The 27,048-nt window shown below is 45.0% G+C and overlaps 1 protein-coding gene across 3 annotated transcripts in view, besides 12 other annotated features; it reads left to right on the forward strand.

Annotated features, from left to right (window-relative positions):
• Positions 4,678 to 4,847: an enhancer, noted in NCBI's record as "experimental_28311 CRE fragment used in MPRA reporter constructs". NCBI's record gives its function as "activates a minimal promoter by MPRAs in K562 erythroleukemia cells, with activity observed for the introgressed 12:32551880 variant allele {active_cell/tissue: K562}" and the evidence as "EXISTENCE:reporter gene assay evidence [ECO:0000049][PMID:34662402]".
• Positions 4,921 to 5,861: an enhancer, noted in NCBI's record as "NANOG-H3K27ac-H3K4me1 hESC enhancer chr12:32552038-32552978 (GRCh37/hg19 assembly coordinates)". NCBI's record gives its function as "activates a minimal SCP1, AML or CMV promoter by ChIP-STARR-seq in primed H9 embryonic stem cells {active_cell/tissue: H9 hESC(primed)}" and the evidence as "EXISTENCE:reporter gene assay evidence [ECO:0000049][PMID:30033119]".
• Positions 4,921 to 5,864: a biological region, named in NCBI's record as "NANOG-H3K27ac-H3K4me1 hESC enhancer GRCh37_chr12:32552038-32552978".
• Positions 5,005 to 5,184: a silencer, noted in NCBI's record as "silent region_4336". NCBI's record gives its function as "represses an Ori minimal core promoter by ATAC-STARR-seq in GM12878 lymphoblastoid cells {active_cell/tissue: GM12878}" and the evidence as "EXISTENCE:reporter gene assay evidence [ECO:0000049][PMID:35858748]".
• Positions 5,375 to 27,048, forward strand: part of FGD4 (FYVE, RhoGEF and PH domain containing 4) — a 246,493-nt gene continuing 224,819 nt past the window's right edge. For all 3 annotated transcript variants that reach the window (XR_001748576.2, NM_001370298.3, NM_001384126.1), the window contains exon 1: positions 5,375 to 5,776. Coding sequence is in view for 2 of the 3 variants with exons in the window: in NM_001370298.3 (NP_001357227.2) it covers positions 5,611 to 5,776 (166 nt within the window). In the remaining variant the exon portion in view is untranslated. The remainder of the gene's footprint in view (positions 5,777 to 27,048) is intronic.
• Positions 5,555 to 5,864: a silencer, noted in NCBI's record as "silent region_4337". NCBI's record gives its function as "represses an Ori minimal core promoter by ATAC-STARR-seq in GM12878 lymphoblastoid cells {active_cell/tissue: GM12878}" and the evidence as "EXISTENCE:reporter gene assay evidence [ECO:0000049][PMID:35858748]".
• Positions 5,862 to 6,801: an enhancer, noted in NCBI's record as "OCT4-NANOG-H3K27ac-H3K4me1 hESC enhancer chr12:32552979-32553918 (GRCh37/hg19 assembly coordinates)". NCBI's record gives its function as "activates a minimal SCP1, AML or CMV promoter by ChIP-STARR-seq in naive H9 embryonic stem cells {active_cell/tissue: H9 hESC(naive)}" and the evidence as "EXISTENCE:reporter gene assay evidence [ECO:0000049][PMID:30033119]".
• Positions 5,901 to 6,070: an enhancer, noted in NCBI's record as "experimental_28316 CRE fragment used in MPRA reporter constructs". NCBI's record gives its function as "activates a minimal promoter by MPRAs in K562 erythroleukemia cells, with activity observed for both the introgressed and non-introgressed 12:32553103 variant alleles {active_cell/tissue: K562}" and the evidence as "EXISTENCE:reporter gene assay evidence [ECO:0000049][PMID:34662402]".
• Positions 6,802 to 7,742: an enhancer, noted in NCBI's record as "H3K27ac-H3K4me1 hESC enhancer chr12:32553919-32554859 (GRCh37/hg19 assembly coordinates)". NCBI's record gives its function as "activates a minimal SCP1, AML or CMV promoter by ChIP-STARR-seq in naive and primed H9 embryonic stem cells {active_cell/tissue: H9 hESC(naive and primed)}" and the evidence as "EXISTENCE:reporter gene assay evidence [ECO:0000049][PMID:30033119]".
• Positions 7,743 to 8,682: an enhancer, noted in NCBI's record as "H3K27ac-H3K4me1 hESC enhancer chr12:32554860-32555799 (GRCh37/hg19 assembly coordinates)". NCBI's record gives its function as "activates a minimal SCP1, AML or CMV promoter by ChIP-STARR-seq in naive H9 embryonic stem cells {active_cell/tissue: H9 hESC(naive)}" and the evidence as "EXISTENCE:reporter gene assay evidence [ECO:0000049][PMID:30033119]".
• Positions 11,594 to 12,579: an enhancer, noted in NCBI's record as "H3K27ac-H3K4me1 hESC enhancer chr12:32558711-32559696 (GRCh37/hg19 assembly coordinates)". NCBI's record gives its function as "activates a minimal SCP1, AML or CMV promoter by ChIP-STARR-seq in primed H9 embryonic stem cells {active_cell/tissue: H9 hESC(primed)}" and the evidence as "EXISTENCE:reporter gene assay evidence [ECO:0000049][PMID:30033119]".
• Positions 16,400 to 17,000: an enhancer, noted in NCBI's record as "H3K4me1 hESC enhancer chr12:32563517-32564117 (GRCh37/hg19 assembly coordinates)". NCBI's record gives its function as "activates a minimal SCP1, AML or CMV promoter by ChIP-STARR-seq in naive H9 embryonic stem cells {active_cell/tissue: H9 hESC(naive)}" and the evidence as "EXISTENCE:reporter gene assay evidence [ECO:0000049][PMID:30033119]".
• Positions 25,036 to 26,022: an enhancer, noted in NCBI's record as "H3K27ac-H3K4me1 hESC enhancer chr12:32572153-32573139 (GRCh37/hg19 assembly coordinates)". NCBI's record gives its function as "activates a minimal SCP1, AML or CMV promoter by ChIP-STARR-seq in naive H9 embryonic stem cells {active_cell/tissue: H9 hESC(naive)}" and the evidence as "EXISTENCE:reporter gene assay evidence [ECO:0000049][PMID:30033119]".

The raw sequence follows: 27,048 nt of genomic DNA on the forward strand, positions 1-27,048 counted from the left end.
TGAGGTCAAGAGTTCAAGACCAGCCTGGCCAATATTGTGAAACCCCGCCTCTATTAAAAATACAAAAATTAGCCAGGCATGGTGGCGGGTGCCTGTAATCCCAGCTACTTGGGAGGCTGAGGCAGGGAGAACTGCTTGAACCTGGGAGGCAGAAGTTGCAGTCAGCTGAGATCCTACCACTGGACTCCAGACAGAGTAAGATGCCGTCTCAAAAAACAAAAATAGGCCGGGCGCAGTGGCTCACGCCTGTAATCCCAACACTTTGGGAGGCTAAGGCAGGCGGATCACGAGGTCAGGAGATTGAGACCATCCTGGCTAACATGGTGAAACCCCATCTCTACTAAAAATACAAAAAATTATCCGGGCGTGGTGGTGGGAGCCTGTAGTCCCAGCTACTCGGGAAGCTGAGGCAGGAGAATGGCATGAACCCGGGAGGTGGAGCTTGCAGTGAGCTGAGATCGCACCACTGCACTCCAGCCTGGGCGACAGAGCAAGACTCCGTCTCAAAAAAAAATAATAAATAAAATAAAATAAAAACAAAATCAAAGATGAGAATAAAACCTAATTGGTGAAAATCTTACCTATTAAAAGTCTATTCAATTATTTGTTGTGAAGAGTTCTTTTTTCTTTTTGCATCAGTGGAATCTAAAAAATTTCTTTATGATCAACTGAGCAAAATTATACCAACTACCAAACATAAAACACTGGAATATGAGCTGAAGTAATGGCATTCTCCTGGTACTTGCAACCCTATGCTGAAATAAACCCATGCTTCTAAAGCAGTTCCATTAATTTAGGATGTAAAATTCAATATAATATAGTTAAAATATGTTCTAGAATGCATCTGATAAAGTTTGAAAACAGACTTAGAGAGCCTGTGACAGTGTGTATTTTCAGATGGAAAAACTGTGCCTAAGGTGTTGGACAAATTATTCAAGAACTGATTGTGTTCTTAAAGATCCCCTAGATCAGCAAATACCCAGGGTGATAATTGGCTAAGTGATAATCACACCAATTAGGCTGCAGAGGCAGTGTCAGATTTTTAGTTCAAGATCCTATTAACAGCTGAGCCTACTCATTATACTTCTCACTGGCAGAGGTTCTCTGTGTCCTTGGACAGGATTTGCATCTCTGCCTCACAGACAGGAAGTTTGGGAGACATCTGCTCAGTTGAGGATAAAAACTTTAATTTCACCTGGAATAAATTAGCTTATTTTTCTTCAGATTGGCCAAAGATACAGGTCTGCCAATCCCATTCATTTATTTATTTCTCAAATGTTTGCTTCTTTTTTTCTAGTAATAAAGCAATATATATTTATTGTAGCCAGTTTGAAAGATATGGAAAAGTAGAAAGGAAGCAATACAATTCACCCATAATCTCTCTCAATGAAAACTGCTGTTAACATTTTGGTGACTTTACTTGAATCATACTGAATATACAATTTTAAATCCTGTTTTTCACCTTTTAACATTTATGGTGAATATTTTTGTAGGTTATTAAAAGTTTGCAAATACAATATTTTTAAGGTTGACATAATATTCTATAGGATGAATAAATTATACTTTTTAAAAAACAAAATACTTTCCTATATTGGCTATTTAAGTTGCTTCAAGATTTTTACTGTTGTAAATAATGATGAGCCACTTCCTCCCTCTCACCCAGGACAAAAAAAGAAAAAATATATATAATGATGCCGTTAAAATCTTTCTTTCTTTCTTTTTTTCCCCTGTAGAGAGGAGGATTCATGTTCTTGCCCGGGATAGTCTCGAACTCCTGGACTCAAGAAATCCTCCCACCTGAGCCTCCTAAAGCATTGGGATTACAGTCATTAGCCACCGTGCCCAGGTTTTTTTTTTTTTTTTTTTTTAAGGCTAGTTATTGAAAGCAGTGGGAGTGGAGAAGAAACAAATCGGTAACTGGTTGTGATCAGTCTGTTGTAAACATCACTGCATTCAGACCAGCCTCATGAACAACGTTTTTGATTTGCAATTTGGAGACTTAAAAATGAGGAGACTGTTTTCTCTCAACAAATTGAAAACTATTACCATGAAAATGTTTATACCTTGCATTTTAAAAAATATTTTTGATTGCCAATATTCTCACTAAAATGTTTATCATGTATCTATTTGTGTCTACTTTGAAAACAAACTATTTGAAATACTGCATAAATAATATCACTTCAGGTTTATCTCTTTTATCAGTTTGTCTCTTTTTCGTGGAAAATTTCAGAGTATTCTGTTAATTCTTTTTTTTTTTTTTCAATTTATTTATTTGAGACAAGGTCTCACTTTTTTGCCCAGGCTGGAGTGCAGTGGCACAATCATGGCTCTCTGCATTCTCAACTTCTGGGGCTCAACTGTTTCTCCTACCTCAGCCTCCCAAGTAGCTGGGACTACAAGTGCATGCCATCATGCCCGGCTAATAAAAAAAAAACAAAATTGGCCTGGCGCAGTGGCTCACGCCTGTAATCCCAGCACTTTGGGAGGCGGAGGCGGGTGGATCACGAGGTCAAGAGTTCAAGACCAGCCTGACCAACATGGTGAAACCCCGCCTCTACTAAAAATACAAAAATTAGCCAGGCATGGTGGCACACGCCTGTAATCCCAGCTACTCGGGAGGCTGAGGCAGGAGAATTGCTTGAACCCGGGAGGCAGAGGTTGCAGTGAGCCAAGGTCATGCCATTGCATTATCTTTTTTTTTTTTTTTTTTTTTTTTTTGTAGAGACAGGATTTCACTATGTTGCCCAGGCTGGTCTCAAACTCCTGGGCTCAAGCGATCCTAGTGCCTCAGCTACCCAAAGTGCTGGGATTACAGGCATGAGCCACTGTGCCCAGCCTCTGCTGAATTCTAATCATGCAGAGCTGTGTGGGCTACTGCAAATGCCTAGTAGATGTGTGAGCCTTGTATAAAGCAATAGTGTCATTAGAGAAAGATGTAAATTTAGAATTATAGATTGGCACAATAGTCTTATAGCCTCAGTGTGTCACCTTCTGTTGATCTTACCATGGTATGTACAAAAGTATAATATGGCCGGGCGTGATGGCTCACACCTGTAATCCCAGCACTTTGGGAGGCCGAGGCGGGCGGGTCACCTGAGGTCAGGAGTTCGAGATCAGCCTGGCCAACATGGTGAAAACCCCATCTCTACTAAAAATACAAAAATTAGCTGGGTGTGGTGGCAGGTTCCTGTAATCCAGCTACTCGGGAGGCTGAGGCAGGAGAATCCCTTGAATCCGGGAGGAGGAGGTTGCAGTGAGCCGAGATCGCGCCATTGCACTCCAGCCTGGGCAACGAGCAAAACTCTGTCTCAAAAAAAAAAGAAAAAGGTTGCTCTAAGCCAACGTGCTACTATAGTATTGTTGATTTCAACACCATCTTTTTATTGAGGCAAATAAACTAAGTTAGAAATTTGCATTTATAGTTAATTTATGTATATGGAGGCAAAACTTTCTGCTTTAATTTATATTTGAAACTACTTGTTTAAATTACTTTTGATACTATATGGCACAGTAGATAACAGTGCCGCTGTCAGAAAGAGAATAAATCCTAAGAGAGCAAAAGCTCCTTTTAATAAAGGTCTGAATGGCTGCATAAATCATTAGAGGGCTAGTTCCTTCTCTTTGGGAGTACGTTTATTTGGGTAGCAGCCAGGGAGACTGAAACAGTTGAACTGCCCTTCACAAAGGCTGAGAAAGATCGAATTACCATTACACTTCAGGGGGCTGGAGATGGTACCTGGGTGAATGACCATGTGAAGAAAGGCGGGGTGGCTTCCAAGATGGAAGTGATGGCTGGGGAACTTGGCTTGAGCTGGGATACTTGTAATGGTGGCTTTTTGCCTCCTATCTGTGTGATTTTTGGGACACAGCCTCTTTGTTATTAGAATAGTGAATTTTCAAATGCAGATAAGCAAGTCAATTTAAAATGTATTTTTTTGGTCAGGCACTGTGGCTCACGGCTGTAATCCCAGCTCTTTGGGAGGCCAAGGTGGGAGGAATGCTTGAGCCCAGGGATTGGAGACCAGTCTGGTCGACCTAGGAAAACCTCATCTCCACTAAGAATAAATAAACAAATAAATAAATAAATACTACTAATTAGCTGAGTGTGGTGGCATGGGCCTGTAGTTCCAGCTAGTGGTGGGGCTGAGGCAGTAAGATCCCTTGAGCCCAGGAGGTCGAGGCTGCAGTGAGTTGATAGGGCCACTGCACTCCAGCTTGGATCAGGGTGTGACCCGGTATCTAAAAAACAAACAAAAAAGCATTTCTTCAGGTTAGTATTTAGCTGGTGTTAAAAACGAAAACATGATAATTTAAAAGGACTCTAGGCTGGGCACAGTGACTCAAGCCTGTAACCCAGAGCTTTGGGAGGCCAAGGCAGTAGGATTGCTTGAGCCCAAGAGTTAGAGACCAGCCTGGGCAACATAGCGAGGCCTCATCTCTACAAAAACTACAAAAATTAGCCAGCAGTAGTGGCGCGCCCCTGTTGTCTCAGCTACTCAGGAGGCTGAGGCAGGAGAATCGCTTGAGACCAGAAGGTCGAGGCTGCACTGAGCTATGATCACACCACTGCACTGCAGCCTTGGTGACAGAGCGAGACCCTGTCTCAAAACAACCAAAAGGACTGTAAAGTGCATTCCTAATGAAGTCCTGAATGGAGGGTCTGCTGCTCTTCTGGAAACCTTTGGATTGTTAACCTCTACCCCTCTTTTATTTCCACACCTCTTATTTCATTTTCTGTCCCGATACTCCTGGCAAGATGTTTAGTTCAGTGGAGTAAGGACAGACTTCGGTGCGGAGACTCCAGCTCTGCAGTGCTATGTGACCCCACTGTAGGTTCAGCACCTTGGTTTCCTTATCTGAAATACTTATTCGGTAGTTTTAGGACATAAGATCAAGGGTTCAGCACAACGGCTTGAGACACATACGCGACCCTCAGAGTGCGGGTCTGCGAGAATGCAAGCACCCTGGACATGGTCCAGAGTAGCTGGACTTCTTCCCGAGGGCACTGCGTGGCCAGCAGGTGAGCGCGGCCCCCGCCTCGCAGCACCCCAGGTGTGCGGCCGCAGGTGCGCGCCCGCGCGGCTCCCCTCGGCCAAAGGGCGAGGCAGTGGCGCGGCAGGGCGGGGCCGGCCAGAGCGAACCGGCTCCGGCTCCGGGGCCGCGCCCAGGGCGCTCCGCTGGGCACAGCAAGTTCTTGGCTGCTTCCCCGGCCGGAGGAGGCGGCGGCGGCGGCGGCGGCGGCGCTAACAGGCTGAACCCTCTGCGCTCTCCTCCCGCCCTTGGGGACCTGCTGGCGATTGGCTCCAGAGAGGAAGGGGTGGAGGCAGCCCCGGCCTGGCAGCTGCGGTAGCGGCTTTGAGTGAGTGCGGGAGCTGCAGATACCGAGACGCTGCGACTGCCGCAGGAGTCGCCGCAGCCAAACTCGCCGCGACGCCGGGAGGGAGCGTACCGGGAAGGAGAGGGAGAGGAGGCACTCGCTGAGGAGACGCCGCAGTAGAGGGCGCCCCCGGAGTCGCGCCGAACCTGGGCATGCAGGCGACGCCCCCCAGGGGCCGCTCGCGGCTGGACGGGAGCGGGAGGAGTCGGGGAGCGGCGGTCGAGCCCGGCAGGATGAGCGACGAGGGCGGCTCCAACTTCAGGCGGGTGGCGATCCGGCGGAAGTCCAACCCCTCCTACCTGCCGCCCGGGGTGCCCCGGCCCTGGAGCAGGCCCGCGTCGCACCTGGGACGTGTAGGGACCGCTGCCTTCAAGGGCCAGGTGCCCTCAGGAGCCACAGGTAAGCGCCTCGGGGCGCGGGGGAAGGGTGGCCCCGGCGCGTAGGTGCGGGTGAGGGGCGCTCCCAGCGCCCTGCAGGTGCGCCCTCTCGTCCCCCGCTGCGGAGGTAACTGGTTCGGGAGGTTCATTGTGGAAGGCTGCGCTCGGCCACCCACTCCCTTAGCTATGCTGTCCCTTCCCCCAGAGGACCTTGGGCAGGAACCCGCCTACCGCCGAGCTTGTCCTGGAGGTCACTTCTCAGAAAATTCAGAAAGTACAGGTAGAATTCTCTTTTTCTCTCTAACTTTTGTTAGGATTTGAAAAGACCAGTTTTCTAGCTACTGAAGCTTAAGCGGCTTCGCTAAATTCCTGCTTTGGGCAGCCGTGGTGGAGGCCTAATACGGTGAAGGGGAGGCTGGTGTCCGCCCAAGTCTGACAACCTAGGTGTGGTGAGCAACCTTCTTAGTGCCTGGATTTTCTTAAAGGGACGCTTGACTCCCAGGCTGACTGTGAAAAGCGGCAAGGAAAGCTGTTCCTAACATCAGAAAACGGAATCATTATTGCTGTTTTCATGTTAATAGGTTCAGATGTCAGTAATGCGGTGTTTTGATTTCTGAATTCTCATTGAATCTTAAAGAAGTCCTCAAGGTGATCTATTCAAGGCGATCTATTCAAGGCCACGTAATCTCCCCTGTCTTGTAAATGTGTTCTCTTCTCCCCAGGCGAGTTTGAAACTAGGGATTTCTTTTTTCTTTGATTTGCAAAACTTCTTTAAAATCCCCTCCCCTCCTTTATGCGGTAACCAGAGGTGTCTGGTATGTAGACCAGCTTACGAGGCAAAACCTCATTTGAGCAGCAGAAATACAAATAATTCTAATTACTTTCACGCATTTCATTCTGATTAAGCAAATATGACGATTTAAATATGATAAATATTAGAGCTTTTAAATTCCCTTTTAGTCCTGGTTCTGAACTTGTAGTAGGCATAGAGCAGAAAAACATGATGAATTAAAAAGATATAACTACAGTAGATAAGGGCAGAAATTGTGAGGTGAGAAAATATGTAAACAAGTAACTGAATTACAGTGCCTTCGGTCTTCATTTCCTTGTCTTCAAAATGAGGACACTAGTGTGAAACAGTTTCTGAACTCTCTTCCAGTCTTAGGTGTGATTCACTCAAATTAATGGGAGGGTGTTTTCTTCCTTATCAAATGAAAATGATTTACTTTGGATCGAAGGTATTTATTTAATGGGTTTTCAAGTTATTTAATGTACAGAATTTGTTAATCATCAACTGTTTTCAGTTGGAGAATAGTGGGCACCAAATTCCTTATTTTTGTGAGACGGAGTCTCACTCTGTCGCCCAAGCTGGAGTGCAGTGGCATGAACTCAGATCACTGCAACCTCTGCCTCCCGGGTTCAAGCGATTCTCCTGCCTCAGCCTCCCAAGTAGCTGGGATTGCAAGCATGCGCCACCACGCCCAACTAATTTTTCTGTTTTTAGTAGATACGGGGGTTTCACCATGTTGCCCAGGCTGGTCTCGAACTCCTGATCTCAAGTGATCCGCCCGCCTCAGCCTCCCAAAGTGCTGGGATTACAGATGTGAGCCACCACATCCGGCCTCAAATTCTTTATTCTATCATTTTACTTAAAATCACCTGGCTAAATTACAAACCCATTGAGTAGGGGAAAAGAGGAAGTGCCCTTTTAGCAGTAAGGGTAAAAGGGAGTTGTGGCAGTCTACAAATCATTTCTGTAAGGTAGCTCTGCTTTTTCTCTTTTCCATTCTTTTTTTTTTTTTTTTTTTGAGACGCAGTTTTGCGCTTGTCCCGCAGGCTGGAGTGCAGTGGCGCAATCTCGGCTCACTGCAACCTCTGCCTCCTGGCTTCAAGATTCTCCTGTCTCAGCCTCCCGAGTAGCTGGGGTTACAGGTGCCTGCCACCATGCACAGCTAATTTTTGTACATTTTTTTTTTTTTTTTTGAGACGGAGTCTGGCTCTGTCGCCCAGGCTGGAGTGCAGTGACGCAATCTTGGCTCACTGCAAGCTCCGCCTCCCGGGTTCACGCCATTCTCCTGCCTCAGCCTCCCGAGTAGCTGGGACTACAGGCGCCCGCCACCACGCCCGGCTAATTTTTTGTACTTTTAGTAGAGACGGAGTTTCACCATGTTGGCCAGGCATTTTTTTTTTTTTTTTTTTTTTTTTTTTTAAAGAGACGGGATTGCTTGGCACGGGGGCTCACGCCTGTAATCCCAGCACTTTGGGAGACCGAGGGGGAGGATCGCTTGAGCCCAGGAGTTTGAGACCGGCCTGGGAACATTTCAAAACCCCGTCTCTGCAAAAAATGACCCCTTGTGGACTGAAGTGGGAGGATCGCTTGCGCTCAGGAGGTGGAGGCTGTAGTGAGCCATGATCGTTTCACTGTATTCCAGCCTGGGCAACAGAGTGAGACCCTGTCTCAAAAAGAGAGGGAGAGGGAGAGAGAGAGAGAGAGGGGAGGGGAGTCAGAGAGAGATGGGGTCTCACTGTGTTGCCCAGGATAAGGCTAGAGTGCTGTGCCTATTCATAGGTACAATCGTAGCTCACTATAGCTTCGAACTCATGGGCTCAAAGCTATCCTTCTGCCTCAGTCTCTTAAGTAGATGGGACTACAGGCACACACCATTTTTTTTTTTTTTAATTCAAAGAAAACCCAGAGCAGTTTTTTTTAAAATGGAGAACCTAGCACTACCTTTTCTAGGTGTGTTACATTGTCTCGATATTGTAAACCGGCTGAAACTCAAAATTCTTGTTGCTATTTTCAGGGTCGAAAAGTAATTATCTTAATAGGTACAGCCATTCCCCTTACCATGATAAAATCTGTAATATCTGTAGGAGAATGATCTAGTGTTTTGAGAAGTAGTCTCAAACTACTGGATGACCACACCCTGTTCAATTTGGGAAGGGTAAAAAATATTTTAGAAAGTGCTTTCTTCTTTGACTCAAATCTGCCTCCCTATTAGTTCAATAGTATCATTAGATAAGTCTGTTCTTCCCCCTCATCAAAAAGTAAACCAGATTTAAGTTACTGAAAAGTGCCAGTTCATTCTATAGCACCTAGGAAAATATTTATATATGAAAACCACAAAATTTAAACGCATTACAAAGTAGGCATTACTCAATTGAAATGTCACTTTCCCTCTTAAAGAAGAAGGAACAAAAACTGAAAACTCAAGAACTTGGCAGAAAATTCCATTTAGCATTGTTATGTCATGTTCTGTGGTTATAAACCCTGCTGTTTTTAGAGTTCTGTGCTTTTTGGCAAAAATAATAAAGTGTACCAACTGCATCCTTTGTGTATTCCTGAATGTGAAGCTCCCCATTTAAGTGAAACAGAAAGGTGAAGCAATTAAGACATAGGCTTTGGGGTTATATAGCACTCACGTTCTAGTCCCTCTTCCATAGCTAGCTGTGTGAATTGGACTGTCTCTTAATTTCTACGTTTCTTCATCTGGACAACAGAGATAACAATCCTTATAATCGGTGCACTCCTATAGTCTCAGCTACTTGGGAGGCTGAGGCAGGAGAATCACTACAAGCCATGAGTTTGAGGATGAAGTATGCTGTGTTTGCACCTGTGAATAGCTACTGCACTCCAGCCTGAGCAACGCAGCAAAACTCCATCTTTTTTTTTTTTTTGAGACTGAGTCTTACCCTGTCGCCAGGCTGGAGTGCAGTGGTGCAATCTTGGCTCACTGCAACCTCCGCCATCTGGGCTGAAGTGATTCTCCTGCCTCAGCCTCCCTAGTAGCTGGGACTACAGGCACACACCACCATGCCCAGCTAATTTTTGTATTTTTAGTAGAGACGGGGTTTCACCTTGTTGGCTAGGATGGTCTCAATATCATGACCTCGTGATCCGCCCGCCTCGGCCTCCCAAAGTGCTGGGATTACAGGTGTGAGCCATCGTGCCCGGCCCAATGCTCCCTTTTATGGAACCTTAGTTCCAGGCCTCAGGTTCAGCTTTTTCCTATTGTGAAAACCCAAGGCCAAAACTTCCGTCCCCTGAAAGGCTCTTAGTCCCCTAGGCTTTCGGGTTCCTGGCAATGACTTTGCCTCTTGGGCAGCATGGTCTTACAAGTTAGTTACTTGTGTTTAAGTTTTGGGTTCTTTTTTTTTTTTGCTTGCCTTTGGGCACCTCCTTTATTTTGTTATGAGCTCAGCCATGCATTTGTTGTATCTGAGTATTTGAATATCTGTTGTAATTTATTCAGCATCTCGGTGCTTTGTGGTGAGGGACTTTTCACATTATTTACTTGGTAAACTTTCTATGTAAGTACAGTTTTTTTTTTTCTGGTACTCACCATGGCTGGAATGCTCACATTTTCAACATATACCCCAGTATCCTGAGAACTTCTAGAGTACTAATTTCATCTCTGGGGAAGAGGGATAGAAATTTTGGTGAAAGCAATACAAAAAAGTACTATTGATTGAATTCTGGCACTGAACCAGGACTATGTGTATGTTACCTCTAGTTCTTATAACAACCCTGAAAAAATAGGTGGTATTATTACAATTTTAGGGAAGGAAAAAAAGTTTCAGAAAGTCCTATTGCAGTACCCTGCACCTAGTAAATTTCAGAGGCAGGATTCAGACTTATGTCACTGGCTTCAGTGCTTGCATGCCTGTTAACACCTGTTCTTAAGGTTTTCCAGGGCTTTGAGTGGCCCAACGTAAAGCAATAACCATAGGTCATTTGCATTCATATGTTAGAGCTAATGTTATTTGTAACATTAAAAAATCTATATTATATTTTTAAATAAAAGTATCTTTAGTATTATTAGAATCATACAATGTTCTAAACAAGTAAAGATTTACACTAAAATGATGGATGGTGTGCATGTGCATGAATATCATTAATGCTTCTTAGAAGCTCCTTAAAGATGGGCTCTGAAATTGGAACCAGGAAAAGTTTCTTATAAGAATTTCCTTCCAAGAACAGCTTATTTATTTTTATTTTTTATTTTTATTTTTTGAGACGGAGTCTGGCTCTGTTGCCCAGGCTGGAGAGCAGTGGCGCAATCTCGGCTCACTTCAAGCTCCACCTCCCGGGTTCACGCCATTCTCCTGCCTCAGCCTCCAGAGTAGCTGGGACTACAATCGCCTGCCACCACACCCGGCTAATTTTTTGTATTTTTAGTAGAGACGGGGTTTCACCGTGTTAGCCAGGATGGTCTCGATCTCCTGACCTTGTGATCCACCCGCCTCAGCCTCCCGAAGTGCTGGGATTACAGGCGTGAGCCACCGTGCCTGGCTCCAAGAACAGTTTAAAGAGCAGTCAGTGGTTTTTTTTTTTTTTTTTTTAGAAGGAGTTTCACTCTTGTCCAGGCTGGAGTGCAATGGAGTGAACTCGGCTCACCACAACCTCCGCCTCCCGGGTTCAAGCAATTCTCTTGCCTCAGCCTCCCGAGTAGCTGGGATTACAGGCAAGCGTCAACATGCCTGGCTAATTTTGTATTTTTAGTAGAGATGGGGTTTCTCCAAGTTGGTCAGGCTGGTCTCGAACTCCCGACCTCAGGTGATCCACCCGCCTCGGCCTCCCAAAGTGCTGGGATTACAGGCGTGAGCCACTGCGCCCAGCCTAGTCAGTGGTCTTTTAATGAATAGCCATGTAAACTTGTGGACCTAAGAGCATTGAGAGACTCTTACTCCACAGTCACCTGCTTGCTTGCATTCCTTTTCTCTGCTGAAGGAAATCTAGGTTCATGGTTTTAACTGGTAACAGAGAAGAGGAACTGGAATTTGTTGAGGGAACGGGAACTTGATTGGGGGTCTGCCTGAGGTCACCTGCTGTTGGAGTCAGTCCTTTTACAGGGAGATAACATACATATAGTTCTGGTTCAGAACCAGAATTCAATCAATAGTACTTACTTGTATTGCTCTTACTCAAATCTCTTTTTTTTTTCAAATACGCATTTGCTGGAAAATTGATTGAAAAAGGATTAGAACATGATGCATTTATTTTTTATTTTATTTTATTTTTTGAGATGGAGTTTTGCTCTTGTTGCCCAGGCTGGAGTGTAATGGCGCGATCTTGACTCACTGCAACCTCCGCCTCCTGGGTTCAAGTGATTCTCCTGCCTTATCCTCCCGAGTAGCTGGGATTACTGGCATGTGCCACCACGCCTGGCTAATTTTGTATTTTTAGTAAAGACAGGTTATCTCCTTGTTGGTAGGCTGGTCTCGAACTCCCGACCTCAGGTGATCCGCCCGCCTCAGCCTCCCAAAGTGTTGGGATTACAGGCGTGAGCCACTGTGCCCAGCCTACATGATGCATTTAAATATATGGATGTGGGGCTGGGCGCAGTGGCTCATGTGTGTAATTCCAGCACTTTGGGAGGCAGAAGCAGGCGGATCACTTGAGGTCAGGAGTTTGAGACCAGCCTGGCCAACATGGTGAAACCCTGTCTCTACTAAAAATACAAAAATTAGCCAGGCGTGGTGGTGGGCGCCTGTAATCCCAGCTACTTGGAAGGCTGAGGCAGGAAAATCGCTTGAACCGAGGGAGCAGAGTTTGCAGTGAGCTGAGATTGTGTCACTGCACTCCAGCCTGGGTGACAGAGCTAGACTCCATCTCAAAAAAATTTAAAAAAAAAGAAAAAATTTATGCATGTGAAATGTGGTGAGAGATTCAGTAGGTTTGGACAGGAGCTTATGGATCTGCATTTTTAAAAAGTATATTAGATAATTCTGATGATCTGCTTGGCTTCCAAATGCCATTCTACCAGCTGTTTCAGAATTACTTGGGATTGCTAATTAAAAATCTCTAGCCACACCCTTGACATAGTGACTCAGAATCTGAGGGGTAGGGTTAGAGAAGCTGTTTTTTTTTGTTTGTTTGCTTTTTGTTTTTTTGAGACAGAGTCTTGCTCTGTCACCCAGGCTGGAGTGCAGTGGTGTGATCTCAGCTCACTGCAACCTCCGCCTCCCAGGTTCAAGCAATTCTCTGCCTCAGCCTCCCAAGTAGCTGGTATTATAGGCACCTGCCACCATGCCCAGCTAATTTTTGTATTTTTAGTAGAGATGGGGTTTCACCATCTTGGCCAGGCTGGTCTTGAACTCCTGACCTCGTGATCCACCCGCCTCCGCCTCCCAAAGTGCTGGGATTACAGGCATGAGCCACCACGCCCGGCCAAGAAGCTGTATTTTTTTTTTTTTTTTTTTTTGAGACAGAGTCTCACTCTTGTTCCCCAGGCTGGAGTGCAATGGCACGATCTCGGCTCACTGCAACCTCCCCCTCCCGGGTTCAAATGATTCTCCTGCCTCAGCCTTCCGAGTAGCTGGGATTACAGGCACCTACCACTATGCCCAGCTAATTTTTGTACTTTTAGTAGAGACGGGGTTTCACCATGTTGGCTGGGCTGGTCTTGAACTCCTGACCTCAGGTGATCCACCTGCCTTAGCCTCCCAAAGTGCTGGGATTACAGGCGTGAGCCACTACGCCTGGCCAAGAAGCTGTATTTTTAACAAGTGCCCAGACGATCCTGATGTACAACCAGGTTTATAAGCTTCTGTGCATTTCCAAACATGGGTAAACCCCACTTTGGTCCTGAGGACAGGTTGCCGAGATTTGCAGGAATAAGACAAGGAATGCTATAGATTGTCCCTCAATACATAATCTGGGCCCTCTGCACTTTCTGGCATACTTTTTGCTCATTTCTGTTTGACTCCTCATTGCACTTTTTCTATCTGTTACAGGTCTTTCCTACTTTGTTCTTTTGTCTCAACTCCACCCTCTCCCTCTTGAAGTAGACCTGAATTTGTGCCGATACACAATTTTTATCAGACTGGGGTATCTGAGGTGAGCTCAACCGACCTGTCACTTCAGACTTGGTTTATAGACTCCTTTATTGCAGCCCTCTCCTTTTTACTAATCTGGCAGATAAACCCAGTCCTCAGAGACATTTCTCCTCTGTTACCTTCCATGGTTTGCCCCTTTACTCTCATTTATAGGCTATTTTTTCCCCTCCTCACCCCCAATGAGGTAATCCTAGACTTTATTTATTTATTTATTTATTTATTTATTTATTTATTTAGTTTTGATAAAGAGCCTTGCTTTGTCGCCCAGGCTGGAGTGCGATGGTGCCATCTTGGCTCACTGCAAATTTCACCTCCCAGGTTCAAACGATTCCCCTGCCTCAGCCTCCTCAATAGCTGGGATTACAGGCCACACCATCATGTCCAGCCAATTTTTTTTTTTTTTTTTTTTGAGACAGAATTTCGCTCTCGTTGCCCAAGCTGTAGTGCAATGGTGCAATCTCGGCTCACTGCAATCTCTGCCTCCCGGGTTCAAGCAATTCTCCTGCCTCAGCCTCCCGAGTAGCTGGGATTACAGGCATGTGCCACCATACCTGGCTAATTCTGTATTTTTAGTAGAGACGGGGTTTCCCCATGTTGGTCAGGCTTGTCTTAACTCTCAACCTCAGGTGATCCGCCCACCACGGCCTCACATAGTGCTGGGTTGACAGGTGTGAGCCACCGCGCCTAGCCTAATTTTTGTATTTTTAATAGAGATGGGGTTTCGCCTTGTTGGCCAGACTAGTTTTGAATTCCTAGCTTCAAGTGATCCACCTGCCTCGACCTCACCATCCTAGATTTTAAACCTTGAAATTTTCTAGAGCTGCCTCCCAGTGACTTTAACTTACTGTGTGGATCTGCCTTGCTGCCCTCACTTCTTCATCTTCTCACCCCGTCCTCACCACTTCCTTGTCTTCTTTTGGACTGGCTTGTGTTTACAACATTGGATTAGCAGTTGTAAGGTCAGCAATGAATTCCCAAATAGCATTCAGCACCTATTTTCAGCCCTTCTTAATTTTTCTGTGACATTTGTACCTTTTTAAAGCTCTTTTCTTGGTTCTGATGACCTGAGATATCTTGATTTTCCTACCTCATTGGTTCTTCAACTTTCTTCCTCTGGCTTTGCCATTTTCTCCTTTCTCCTCGTCTTCATTGGGGGTCCCATCTGCCCTCTGGGAAGGTTCAGCAGAGGGTATCTATACCTACTCCGCGTTTTCAAGGGCCTGCTTAATGAATATAAATGCTCCAAGGGCACCAAATCACAATTTCTTTTTACATTGCAATCCAGCCCCTTCTCCTGACTTTCCTTGGCAATTTTACTAACCTAGCTCTTGTTTGGCTTCAAATTCTGTTTTAAAATGGAATCTACCTGCTACCCAATGAGCTACCAGTTCTTATCAGTTTTCCTTCATTTCACATTGAATGTTTTTGCCTTATTTTTGGCCTATTTCTCAACAATAGTGTTGCTATTCATTCTATATAACTCTTTCCTCCCCCCAGTAATTTTTCTTTTTTTTCTTTTTTTTTTTTTTGAGTTGAAGTCTCACTCTTGTCCCCCAAGCTGGAGTGCAATGGTGCGATCTCCGCTCCCTGCAACCTCCGCCTCCCAGGTTCAAGTGATTCTCCTGCCTCAGCCTCCCAAGTAGGTAGGACTACAGGCGCCTGCCACCACACCTGGTTAATTTTTCTATTTTTAGTAGAGACGGGGTTTCACTGTTGGCCAGGCTGGTCTCAAACTCCTGACCTCAGGTGATCCGCCTGCCTCGGCTTTCCAAAGTGCTGGGATTACAGGTGTAAGCCACTGTGCCCAGCCTCCCCCCAGTAATTTTTCTTAAATCTGAGTATGGATCATATCTTTGCCATAGTCAAAAACCTTCCATGTCTCCCCAGCTGCCTGTTACTGATGTCTGTGATGGGATCCAGAAATAATTGCCTTAGTGATTGATTGTTGGTTAAACCTTACCAGTAACCCCTGGAATAGGTATATCTTTTAAAATCCACACAAATATTTAGTCTTATTTGAACTATGAAAGCTAGACTAGTCATGCATTGATCACACTTTAGAAGTTGTGTGTATGTTTGTTTTCAGGAATATATTTGGCATCATTTGGTCCAGTCGCAGTAGCTCACATCTGTAAAACCAGCAGTTTGGGTGGCCACATTGGGAGGATTGCTTGAGTTTAGGAGTTCAAAATCAGCCTGGGTAACGTAGTGAAACCTTGTCTTGTCTCTCAAAAAAAAAAAAAAAAAAAGTCAAGAAATTTGCCAGTATGGACCTGGTGCGGTGGCTCACGCCTATAATCCCAGCACTTTGGGAGGCCGAAGCAGGTGGATCATGAGGTCAGGAGATTGAGACCATCCTGGTTAACAGGGTGAAACCCCATCTCTACTAAAAATACAAAAAATTAGCCGGGTCTGGTGGCGGGCGCCTGCAGTCCCAGCTACTCGGGAGGCTGAGGCAGGAGAATGGCGTGAACCTGGGAGGTGGAGCTTGCAGTGAGCCGAGATTGTGCCACTGCACTCCAGCCTGGGCGACACAGCGAGATTCCGTCTCAAAAAAAAAAAAATTGCCAGTATGGCCCGTAGTCTTAGCTACTCAGGAGGGTGAGGTGGGAGGATTGCTGAAGTCCCAAAGGGCGAGGCTGAGGCTGCAGTGACCTGTGATCACACCACTGTATTCCAGCCTGGGCAATGGAATGAGACTGTGTCTCAAAAAGAAAAAAAAAAAGAAATTGGCATCATTTGCAGGGCATTGTCTTGAATTTGTCATCGGTTCTTGAATTGCAGTTGACAGTGTAGGCATTAGCACCAGCAAGTGTTCTGGGAGCCCACAGTCAACTTTGTATTATTGCCTCACTTAAGCGAGAATAGAGTGAAAACAAACCCAGTTGCTGTGCCCGTCGCACATGCACATCCGTTCATTGGAATTAAACTGTCAGCCTTCATCAACTGCAGTGTCTGTGGAAACCAGGGAGCTACCACAGTTCTGGGAACCGCACTGAGCCTCAGTGCAACTTTGAACAAAATGCCAAATGTCCACCCTGCTCTGCAAGGCTGGGGTTGTCCCCTGGAGCCTCTGACAGGGTTTTGTTTTAGGCCACATGTTAATAATAGTCTTAAAAAGCACAATGACTTTACAATGAACTCTTTTTTTTTTCTTTTTTTTTTTTTTTTTGAGATAGAGTCTCACTCTGTCGCCCAGGCTGGAGTGCAGTGGTGAGATATCGGATCACTGCAGCCTCCGCCTCCCAGGTTCCAGCGATTCTCTTGCCTCAGCCTCCTGTGTAGCTGGGATTACAGGCGCGCCACCACGCCCGGCTAATTTTTGTATTTTTAGTAGAGACGGGGTTTTACCAGGTTGGCCAGACTGGTCTCGAACTCCTGACCTCAGTCAATCCACCCGGCTCAGCCTCCCAAAGTGCTAGGATTACAGGTGTGAGCCACTGCGCCCGGCCGCTCATTTGTATTTTTAAAACATGTGGGTGGGACGCGGTGGCTCAAGCCTGTAATCCCTGCACTTTGGGAGGCCGAGGCGGACGGATCACGACGTCAGGAGTTGAGACCAGCCTGACCAACATGGTGAAACCCCCTCTCTACTAAAAATACAAAAGTTAGCCGGGCGTGGTGGCACACGCCTGTAATCCCAGCTACACAGGAGGCTGAGGCAGGAGAATTGCTTGAACCCGAGAGGCAGAGGTTGCGGTGAGGCGAGATCGCGCCGCCACACTCCAGCCTGGGCGACAGAGCAAGACTCCGTCTCACAACAGCAACAACAACAACAAACACATGCTAGGAGGTGAAAAGTCAGCATGTGGAACCATATAAATTATAAGATACCCCAAATTGAAGAATACTGAGGGGTCATTGCTTACCATTTCAAGTACAATGCGGTATAAAAATCAACTCAAAAAGGCATACTGGTTGAGTGCAGTGGCTTACGCCTGTAATCCCAGCACTTTGGGAGGCGAAGGTGGGCAAATTATCTGAGGTCAGGAGTTCTAGACCAGCCTGACCAACATGGTGAAATCCTGTCTTTACTAAAAGTACAAAAATTCACAGGGTGTGGTGGCGGGCGCCTGCAGTCCCGGCTGCTCGGGAGGCTGAGGCAGGAGAATCTCTTGAACCCAGGAGGTGGAGGTTGCAGTGAACCGAGATTGCGCCACTGAACTCCAGACTGGGCGACAGAGCGAGACTCCATCTCAAAAGAAAAAAAAAGGCACATAGAGAAAAAGCATACAGATTTATTAACGTGCACACGTGAGAATCACAGAATGATTGCCCAGTATCCCAATGGGGCCCAAATACTTACATAATCTTATTTCAGAGGGGAAGAGGAGATAGGGAATATTGGTATTCTGCTGAGTAATAATTGATTACTGTGGAGAATGAATGGATGAGGGAACAGAGACTGATGTGTAAATGATTCTCTTTGGAAATGGAGTGATCCCGAGAGGCAGACGTTATTTTGTAGAAAGATCTGATTAGGTCTGGTTACATTCTTGGTCATCTTTTCTGCAGTAGATTGTGAGATAATGGAGAGAAGGAAAAAGTATTGTTTTTGTTGGGTCTATCTGGTGTTTATGTAGACAGAGGAAAAATCTATTCCTAATACCTGTTGATTTTTAAGGGCTTTTAATTCAAAATACTCATTATCTCAGGAGGCTGTGTTTTGGGGTGGAAATTCCTTGCGCTCCTTCAATTGGAAGTTATGAAATTGTTATAGGCTGGGTATGGTGGCCCACACCTGTGTTCCAGCACTTTGGGAGACCTAGGTGGAAGGATTGCTTGAACCCAGAAGTTCAGGACCCGGCTGGGCAATAGGGAGTCCCCTTTTTGTTTTGTTGTTGTTGTTTTGAGATGGAGTCTCGCGCCATCGCCAGGCTGGAGTGCATTGGCGCGATGTCAGCTCACTGCAACCTCCGCCTCCTGGGTTCAAGCGATCCTCCTGCCTCAGTCTCCACCACACCCATCTAATTTTTTGTATTTTTTGTAGAGACGAGGTTTCACCATGTTGGCCAGGATGGTCTCAATCTCTAGACCTCGTGATCTGCCTGCCTCAGCCTCCTAAAGTTCTGGGATTACAGGCATGAGCCACCGCGCCTGTCCAGAGACCCCTTTTCTAGAAATTTTTTTTTTTTTTTTTTTTTTTTTAATTAGCCAGCCATGGTGGTGCATGCCTGTGGTCCCAACTACTCAGGGGACTGAAGTGGGAGGATTGCTTGAGTTTGGGAAATCAAGGCTGCAGTGGAGCCATAATTGCGCCACTGCACTCCAGCCTGGGTGACAGAGTAAGACTCTGTCTCCAAAAAAAAATTTTTTTTAAATTATAGCCAATTTGATTAAAAATAATTACCAACAGGGTGGGGGCTAGGGGAGGGATAGCTTTAGGAGAAATACCTAATGTAGATGATGGTTTGATAAGTGCAGCAAACCACCATAGCACATGTATACCTTTGTAACAAACCTGCACGTTCTGCACGTGTATCCCAGAACTTAAAGTATATATAAAAAAAATTACCAAAAACCTATTTATAGAAAAAAAAACTTTTAACAAAATGATCTTCGTTTACTCTGCAGAAAGTTGGCTAACATGTAACATTTACGTGCTGTGTAAATTATGCCGTCATATTAATGTGCTGTGTAAATTATGCTGTCATATTAATGACTTACCAGTATGTTAGCAGTATTGGTAATTTTCATCCTAGAAAGGGGAATATAATGCATAATTTTAATACCACTGTTGTGTCTAAGAGAAGCGTTCAGAGGAAGGCACACTTTGGACTGTGCTGCATGCATCTTTGGGGAAAACTGAACATGTAATTTGTGCCCTCAAGGTCATCTGGGAGCTTGTGTGTACTGGCTTATGCATCTGGTGGGAGCAGCAGCCTGCTGACACAATCTGGAAGTCTCCCTAAAATGTATAAAACCAAGTTATAATCCAACCACCTTGGGCGTGCTTTCTCTGGACCTCTGGAGACTGTACTTCGGACCATGGTCACTTATGTTTGGCTCAGAATAAACCTTAAATATTTTACAGAATTTGCTTTTTTTTGTCAACAGGATTGAAGGCAATTGTATTCTTTGGGGGTCCAGTTTCTAGGTAGATGAAGGAACTACAGAGAACAGCCTCATCTTGTACTTTTGGACAGAAAGATAACTGAGAGATAGGGGAGCGAAGGTCAGAGAGACCTTGAGGATACTTTTTTTTTTTTTTTTTGAGACGGAGTCTTGTTCTGTCACCAGGCTGGAGTGCAATGGCATGATCTTGGCTCACCGCAACCTCCACTTCCTGGGTTCAAGGGATTCTCCTGCCTCAGCCTCCTGAGTAGCTGGGATTACAGGCGCCCACCAGCACACCCAGCTAATTTTTATATTTTTAGTAGAGACAGTGTTTCACCATGTTAACCAAGCTGGTCTCAAATTCCTGACCTCAGGTGATCCACCTGCCTCGACCTCCCAAAGTGTTGGGATTATAGGCGTGTGCCACCGCACCCAGCCTACTTCTTTTTTTTTTAAAAAATTATTTATTTATTTTTGTGGGTATAGAGTTGGTGTATATATTTATGGGGTATATGAGGTACTTTGATACAGGCATGCAACGGGTAATAATCACATCGTGGAAAATGGGGTAACCATCCTGTGAAGCATTCATCCTTGTGTTACAATCCAATTACACTCTTTTAGTTATAAAATGTCCAATTAAATTATTGACTATAGTCACCCTGTTGTGCTATCAAGTACTAAGTCTTACTTATTCTTTCTATTTTTTTTTGTACTCATTAATCATCCCCATTTCCCCTCCTCCCCAGCTGCACTTCCCAGCCTCTGGTAATCATTCTTCTACTATCTCCATGAGTTCAGTTTTGATTTTTTTAGCACCCACAAATAAGTGAGAACATGCAAAGTTTGTCTTTCTGTGACTGACCTATTTCACTTAGCATAATGACTTCTGGTTCCATCCATGCTGTTGCAAATGATATTTATTGATATTTTGTATTTTATTCATTTCAAATGTATTTATTTCTGCTCTGATCTTTATTGTTTGTTCTAATTTTGGGTTCGGTTTGCTCTTGCTCTTCTAGTTCTTTAAGATGAATGTTAGGTTATTTATTTGAAGTTTTTCTTCTTTTTGATGTAGGCCCTCATAGGTGTAAATTTCCTTCTTAGTACTGCTTTCACTGTATCTCATAGATTTTGGTAGTTGTGTTTCCATTATTATTGTTTCAATAAATTTTTCAATTTCCTTCATAATGTTTTCATTGACCCACTGTTCATTCAGGAGCATATTATTTAACTTCCATGCGTTTGTATATGTTCCAAAATTCCTCTTGTTATTTATTTGTAGCTTTATTTCATTGTGGTCAGAGAAGATGCTTGCTATTATTTCAGTTTTTTTTGAATGTTTTAAGACTTGTTTTGTGACCTAACATGTCATCTGTCCTTGAGGATGATCCATATGCTCAGGAGGATGTTCTGTAGCCATTGGATGAAATGTTTCATAAATACTTATTAGGTTCATTTGTTCTATTCTGCAGATTAAGTCTGATATTTCCTTGTTTATTTTCTGTCTAGAAGATCTGTCCAATGCTGAAAGTAGGATTTAGATGTCTCCAGCTATTACTGTATTGGGATCTGTCTCTCTTTTTTTTTTTTTTTTTTTTTTTTTTGAGACAGAGTCTCCCTGTGTCACCCAGGCTGGAGTGCTGTGGCACAGTCTCGGCTCACTGCAAGCTCCGTCTCCTGGGTTCACGCCATTCTCCTGCCTCAGCCTCCTGAGTAGCTGGGACTACAGGCACCTGCCACCACGCCTGGCTAATTTATTGTATTTTTAGTAGAGACGGGTTTCACCGTATTAGCCAGGATTGTCTTGATCTCCTGACCTCGTGATCTGCCCGCATTGGCCTCCCAAATGCGGAGCCACCAGGCGTGAGCCACCGCGCCCAGCCTCTTTCTTTAGCTCTTAATAATATTTCCTTTATATCTGGGTGTTACATCCTCTTGCTGAATGGACCCCTTTATCATTATATAGTGACGTTATATGTGTTTTCTTACAGTTTTTCTCTTGAAACCTATTTCATCTGATATAAGTATAGCTACTCCTGCTCTTTTTTTGTTTTCATTGGCATGAAATATCTTTTTCCATTCATTTATTTTCAGTCTATTTGTATCTTTATAAATGAAGTGTGTTTCTTTTAGGCAACAGCTCATTGGGCCTTGCATTTTTATCCATTCAGCCTCTCCATGTCTTTGTGTTGTGTGTCACCCAGGCCGAAGTGCAGTGGTTCAATCTCAGCTCACTGCAACTTCTGCCTCCTGGGCTCAAGTGATCCTTTTCTTCAGCCTTCCAAGTAAAGTAGCTGGGACTACAGGTGTATGCCACCATGCCCAGCTAATTTTTGTATTTTTTGTAAAGACAGGGTTTCCCTGTGTTGCCCAGGCTGGTCTTGAACTCCCGTGCTCAAGCAATCTGCTCACCTTGGCTTCCCAAAGTGCTGGGATTACAGGTGTGAGCGACTGTACCTGGCCAACTGTATGTCTTTTGATTAGAGAGTTTAGTTGATTTACAATCAGTGTTATTATTGGTAGGTAAGCACTACTCCTACCATTTTATTTGTCTTCTGGTTGTTTTTTGGTCTTCTCTTCTTTCTTTCCTTCTTTCCTGTCTTCCTTTTAGTGAAGATGATTTTCTCCAATGTTACGCTTTAATTTCTTTTTATTTTTTGGGTGTCCATTGTACGTTGGACATGCACACAATGGACACACATAAAACACAACAATTAGTATTCGGTTTGCAAATACTATCTCGTAACCCATTATTTTAAATGGATGACAACACTGATTGCAGAAATAAACAAGCAAAAAAGAAAATGAATAAAACTATATACTTTAACTTTCTCCTCCCCTTTTAACTTTTGTTTCTTTTTATGTCTTATTGCACTGTCTATATCTTGAAAAGTTGTAGTTATTATTTCTGATGGGTTCATGGTTTAGTCTTTCTACTTAAGAGTATTTCACACACCAAAAATTGCCATGTTATATTCCTGTTTTTCTGTGTGCCATTACCAGTGAGTTTTGTACCTTCAGATGATTTCTTATTGCTCATTAACGTCCTTTTCTTTTTCTTTTTCTTTTTTTTTTTTTGAGATGGAGTCTTGCTCTGTCACCCAGGTTGGAGTGCAATGGCACAATCTCGGCTCACTGCAACCTCCGCCTCCTGGGTTCAAGCAATTCTCCTGCGTCAGCCTCCTGAGTAGCTGGGACTACAGGCGCATGCCACCACGTCTGCTAATTTTTGTATTTTTAGTAGAGATGAGGTTTCATCATGTTGGTCAGGCTGGTCTCAAACGCCTGACCTCGTGATCCACCCACCTCGTCCTCCCAAAGTGTTGGAATTACGGGCATGAGCCACCGCGCCTGGCCTAACGTCCTTTTCTTTCTGATTGAAGTACCATTTAGCATTTTTTGTAGGACAGGTCTGGTGTTGACAAAATCTCTCAGCTTTTGTTTGTCTGGGAAAGTCTTTATTTCTCCTTCAAGCTTAAAGGATATTTTTGCTGGATACACTATTCTAGGGTAAATTTTTTTTTTCTTCCGCATTTTAAATATGTCATGCCTGTAAGGTCTCCTGGCCTGTAAGGTTTCCACTGAAAAGTGCTAGATGTATTGGAGCTCCATTATATGTTATTTATTTATTTATTTTCTGAGACAGAGTCTCACTCTGTCACCCAGGCTGGAGTACAATGGTGCGATCTTGGCTCACTGCAACCTCTGCCTCCCAGGTTAAAGTGATTCTCATGCCTCAGCCTCCTGAGTATCTGGGATTACAGGTACATGTCACCATGTCTGGCTAATTTTTGTATTTTTAGTAGAGATAGGATTTCCTCATGTTGACCAGGCTGGTCTCCAACGCCAGGCTTACTAATTCTTTCTTCTGCTTGATCTGTTCTGCTAATAAGAGACTCTGATGCATTCTTCAGTATGCCAATTCCATTTTTAGTTTCTGCATAATTCTTTTTAGTTATTTCAGTCTCTTTGTTACATTTATCTGATAGAATTATCAATTCCTTCTCTGTGTTATCTTCAATTTCTTTGAGTTTCCTTACCACAGCTCTTTTGAATTCTTTGTCTGAAAGGTCACATATCTCTGTTTTTTTCCAGGAATGGTCCCTGGTGTCTTAGTTCTTTTTTTTTTTTTTTTTTTGAGACAGAGTCTCGCTCTGTCGCCCAGGCTGGAGTGCAGTGGCACAATCTCGGCTCATTGCAAGCTCCACCTCCTGGGTTCACGCCATTCTCCTGCCTCAGCCTCCCGAGTAGCTGGGACTACAGGCGCCCGCCACCACGCCCGGCTAATTTTTTGTATTTTTAGTAGAGACGGGGTTTCGCTGTGTTAGCCAGGATGGTCTTGATCTCCTGACCTCGTGATCCGCCCGCCTCTGCCTCCCAAAGTGCTGGGATTACAGGCGTGAGCCACCGCGCCTGGCCCTGGTGCCTTAGTTCTTTGGGCGAGGTCATGTTTTCCTGGATGGTCTTCATCCTTGTAGATATTTGTCTATGTCTGGGCATTGAAGAGTTAGGTATTTATTGTAGTCTTCACTGTCTGGGTTTGTGCCCATCCTTCTTGGAAAGGCTTTTCAGGTATTTGAGGGGATGTGGGCCCAAACTGAATAACTCTGTGGTTCTTGCCGACTTATAGAGGTACCACCTTGATGATCTTAGATAAGATCTGGAAGAATTCTCTGGATTACCAAGCAGAGACTCTTGTTCTCTTCCTTTATTTTCTCCCAAACAAATGGAGTCTCTCTCTGTGCTAAACCACCTGGACCTTGGGGGGTGGGGTGTCACCAGCACACCGTGGCCACCACAACTGGGACTGTACCGGTTCAGACCCGAAGCCAGGATAGCACTCGATCTTGCCCAAGGCCCGGTGTAACCACTACCTGGCTACCACCTAAGTTTACTCCAGGCCCTAGGACTCTGCAGTCAGCAGGTGGCAAAGCCAGCCAGGTTTGTGCCCTTCCCTCCAGGGTGGTGAGTTCCCCTAGGCCCCAGATTGGTTCATAGATGCTGTCTGAGAACACCAGGGATTGAAGTCAAAACCTTAGATATTTACCTGGTGTTTTGTTCTACTGTGGTTAAGGTGGCACGTGACCCACAAGACAAGTTGCTTCCCACTCTTCCCTCCCCTTTCCACGGGCAGAAGATCCTCTCCCTGTGGCTGCCATCACCACTGGCTTATGGGGGGGTTCTGCCAGGCCATCACTGATACTTAAAGCCTAAGGGCTCTTCCGTCAGCTTGTGACCAATGCTGCCAGCTCTGGGACTCACCTTTTGGCTCAGGGCAGGTCCAGAAATGCTGACCAAGAGCCTAGGCCTGGACTCAGTGACCTCAGAAGTCTGCTTGTTGCTCTACCCTCTGTAGCTGAGCTAATACCTGAGGTGCAAGACAGAGAGTCTCCTTTATTTTCCCCCTGCTTTTCTCAAACAGGAGTCTTTCACTGTAGCCCTCACAGCTGGGAATGTGCTGGGTCACACCTGAAGCCAGCATGTCTCAGAGCCCAGTGCCTATGGTATACTACCTGGATAGTGCTGTTGATAATTCAGGGCCTTGGCGCTCTTTAGTCAGCAGGGGGTAAATCCTGCCAGGTTTCCTCTGTGACAGGGCAGCACTGAGTTAAGTTAAAGTGCCCCAGTCACTGCATTCTCCCTCTACTAAATGCACAGATTTCTCCCCACCACGCAGCCACTGCTGGGGATGGGGGAGGCATGGCAGAAGCACTCCCTTAGTCACCCTGGCTGGTGTCTTAGTAGGTTGTGTGCCTCCTACTCTAGTCCACTGGCTCTGGGCCCAGCTTAGCACTAGGGCTTGCCTAGGAATTGCAGTCCTTGTGGCCTAACCTGCCCCTCAAGACCACTTAGGGCCCCAGAGCACTCTGGCCTGTGGTTGTGAGGCTTGTGGGAACTCAAGCTCTGACTGCTATGGTGGGTGATTTCCCTCTGGCTAAGGCCAGTCCAAATGCTCCTTCCGTGGTTAGATGTCATCTGAGTGCAGCCTGGTTCTGCTTATCACTGACAGGGCAGCACTGAGTTCAAAGCAAAGCCTCCCAACTGCTGTGCTGTCCATCTCCCAAAAGCACAAAATCTGCACGTGTGGCCACTGCTGGGAGAAGGGGGAGGGCTGGCATTGGCACTTCAAGACTGTCTTTCCTATTCTCTTCAATGTCTCTTTCAGTGATATGAAATTAAAACCAGCTACTGTGAATGCTCACCTGATTTTTGGTTATTTGAGATGGCTGCCTTTTGTATGTAGTTAGTTGTTAAAATTTGATGTTCCTCCTGGGGGTGAGGGGGGTGACAAACAGTGTAGGCTTCTTCTATTCCATCATCTTGCTCTGCCCCTGTGGCTGCTGCCTTAGTTCAGCATGCCAAAGTGCCGTATTTTGGGGTATTGTTTTCATGCCCTAACAGTTCCTTGTGGCAGCTTTTGTGTATCTCTAATCTAATGCTTGTCTCATTGGATCATGTTTGTTTACAAGGATCTAGCACCTACTACAAGTTACTGCCCTAGGTGCAAGCTCTTCCGGGCATGTCTTTCCGTTCCCTTTCAATCCCTCTGGCTTAGCCCTTGCCTCCCTAGCCCCTTCCAAAACTGCCTTTTATTGCTGACCACTTTCCTCAGTCTTTCCTTCTGTGCTGTCTTGAGCAACCCCAGTTTTATGTTTAGAAAATTCCCTAAAACCTGAATTTCAACACAGACCCACACAGTTTTCTGCATGAAGCCTGGCTTTCTCCCACATTACTGATTCCCTGGTGACACTCAAGTGACGGTTGTTCATCTTTTATGACCCACATATCTCCTGGTTGGGACCTGAGGTCAGCCCTCTTCTAGCTTTCCCTGACTAGAAAAAATTCCTCCTGCTTTCACTGTTGTCAGTCACCTCAATTTCTTCACCAAACTTCTTGTTTTTGCTCTGTGTCTGCCCTATAGCCCCTAATTCTGTAGTCATCCATTGCTCCTCAAGGGCCTCTCAAAGTCCATTCAGGGGCTCAATAGATATTGAATAAACAGAAGAACCCCAAACTAGTTGGTACATTTTGGTTCAATGTAATAATTATTTTTTACTTTTTATTTTTTTAAAGAGACAGGGTCTCCACTCTTTCACCTGGACTGGAGTATGGTGGCATGATCATAGCTCACTGCAACCTCGAACTCCTGGGCTCAAGTGATCCTTCTGCCTTGGCCTCTCAAAGTACTGGGATTTACCAGCATTAGCCACCATGCCCAACCAAACATAAGAATTTTCTACCAACACTGTCAGAAAGTGGAATTAGGGTTCTGCAGTGATCATGAGTTTCTTAATAATGAGGGATATTCAAGGAGAGGCTAGATGACTTAGTGGCTTTGCTATAGAGGAGATGGAATGCCAGATGTAACTCTTTCTGACCTGTAATCCCAGCTTG

Source organism: Homo sapiens, chromosome 12, assembly GCF_000001405.40.
Source record: "Homo sapiens chromosome 12, GRCh38.p14 Primary Assembly".
Classification (NCBI taxonomy): domain Eukaryota; kingdom Metazoa; phylum Chordata; class Mammalia; order Primates; family Hominidae; genus Homo; species Homo sapiens.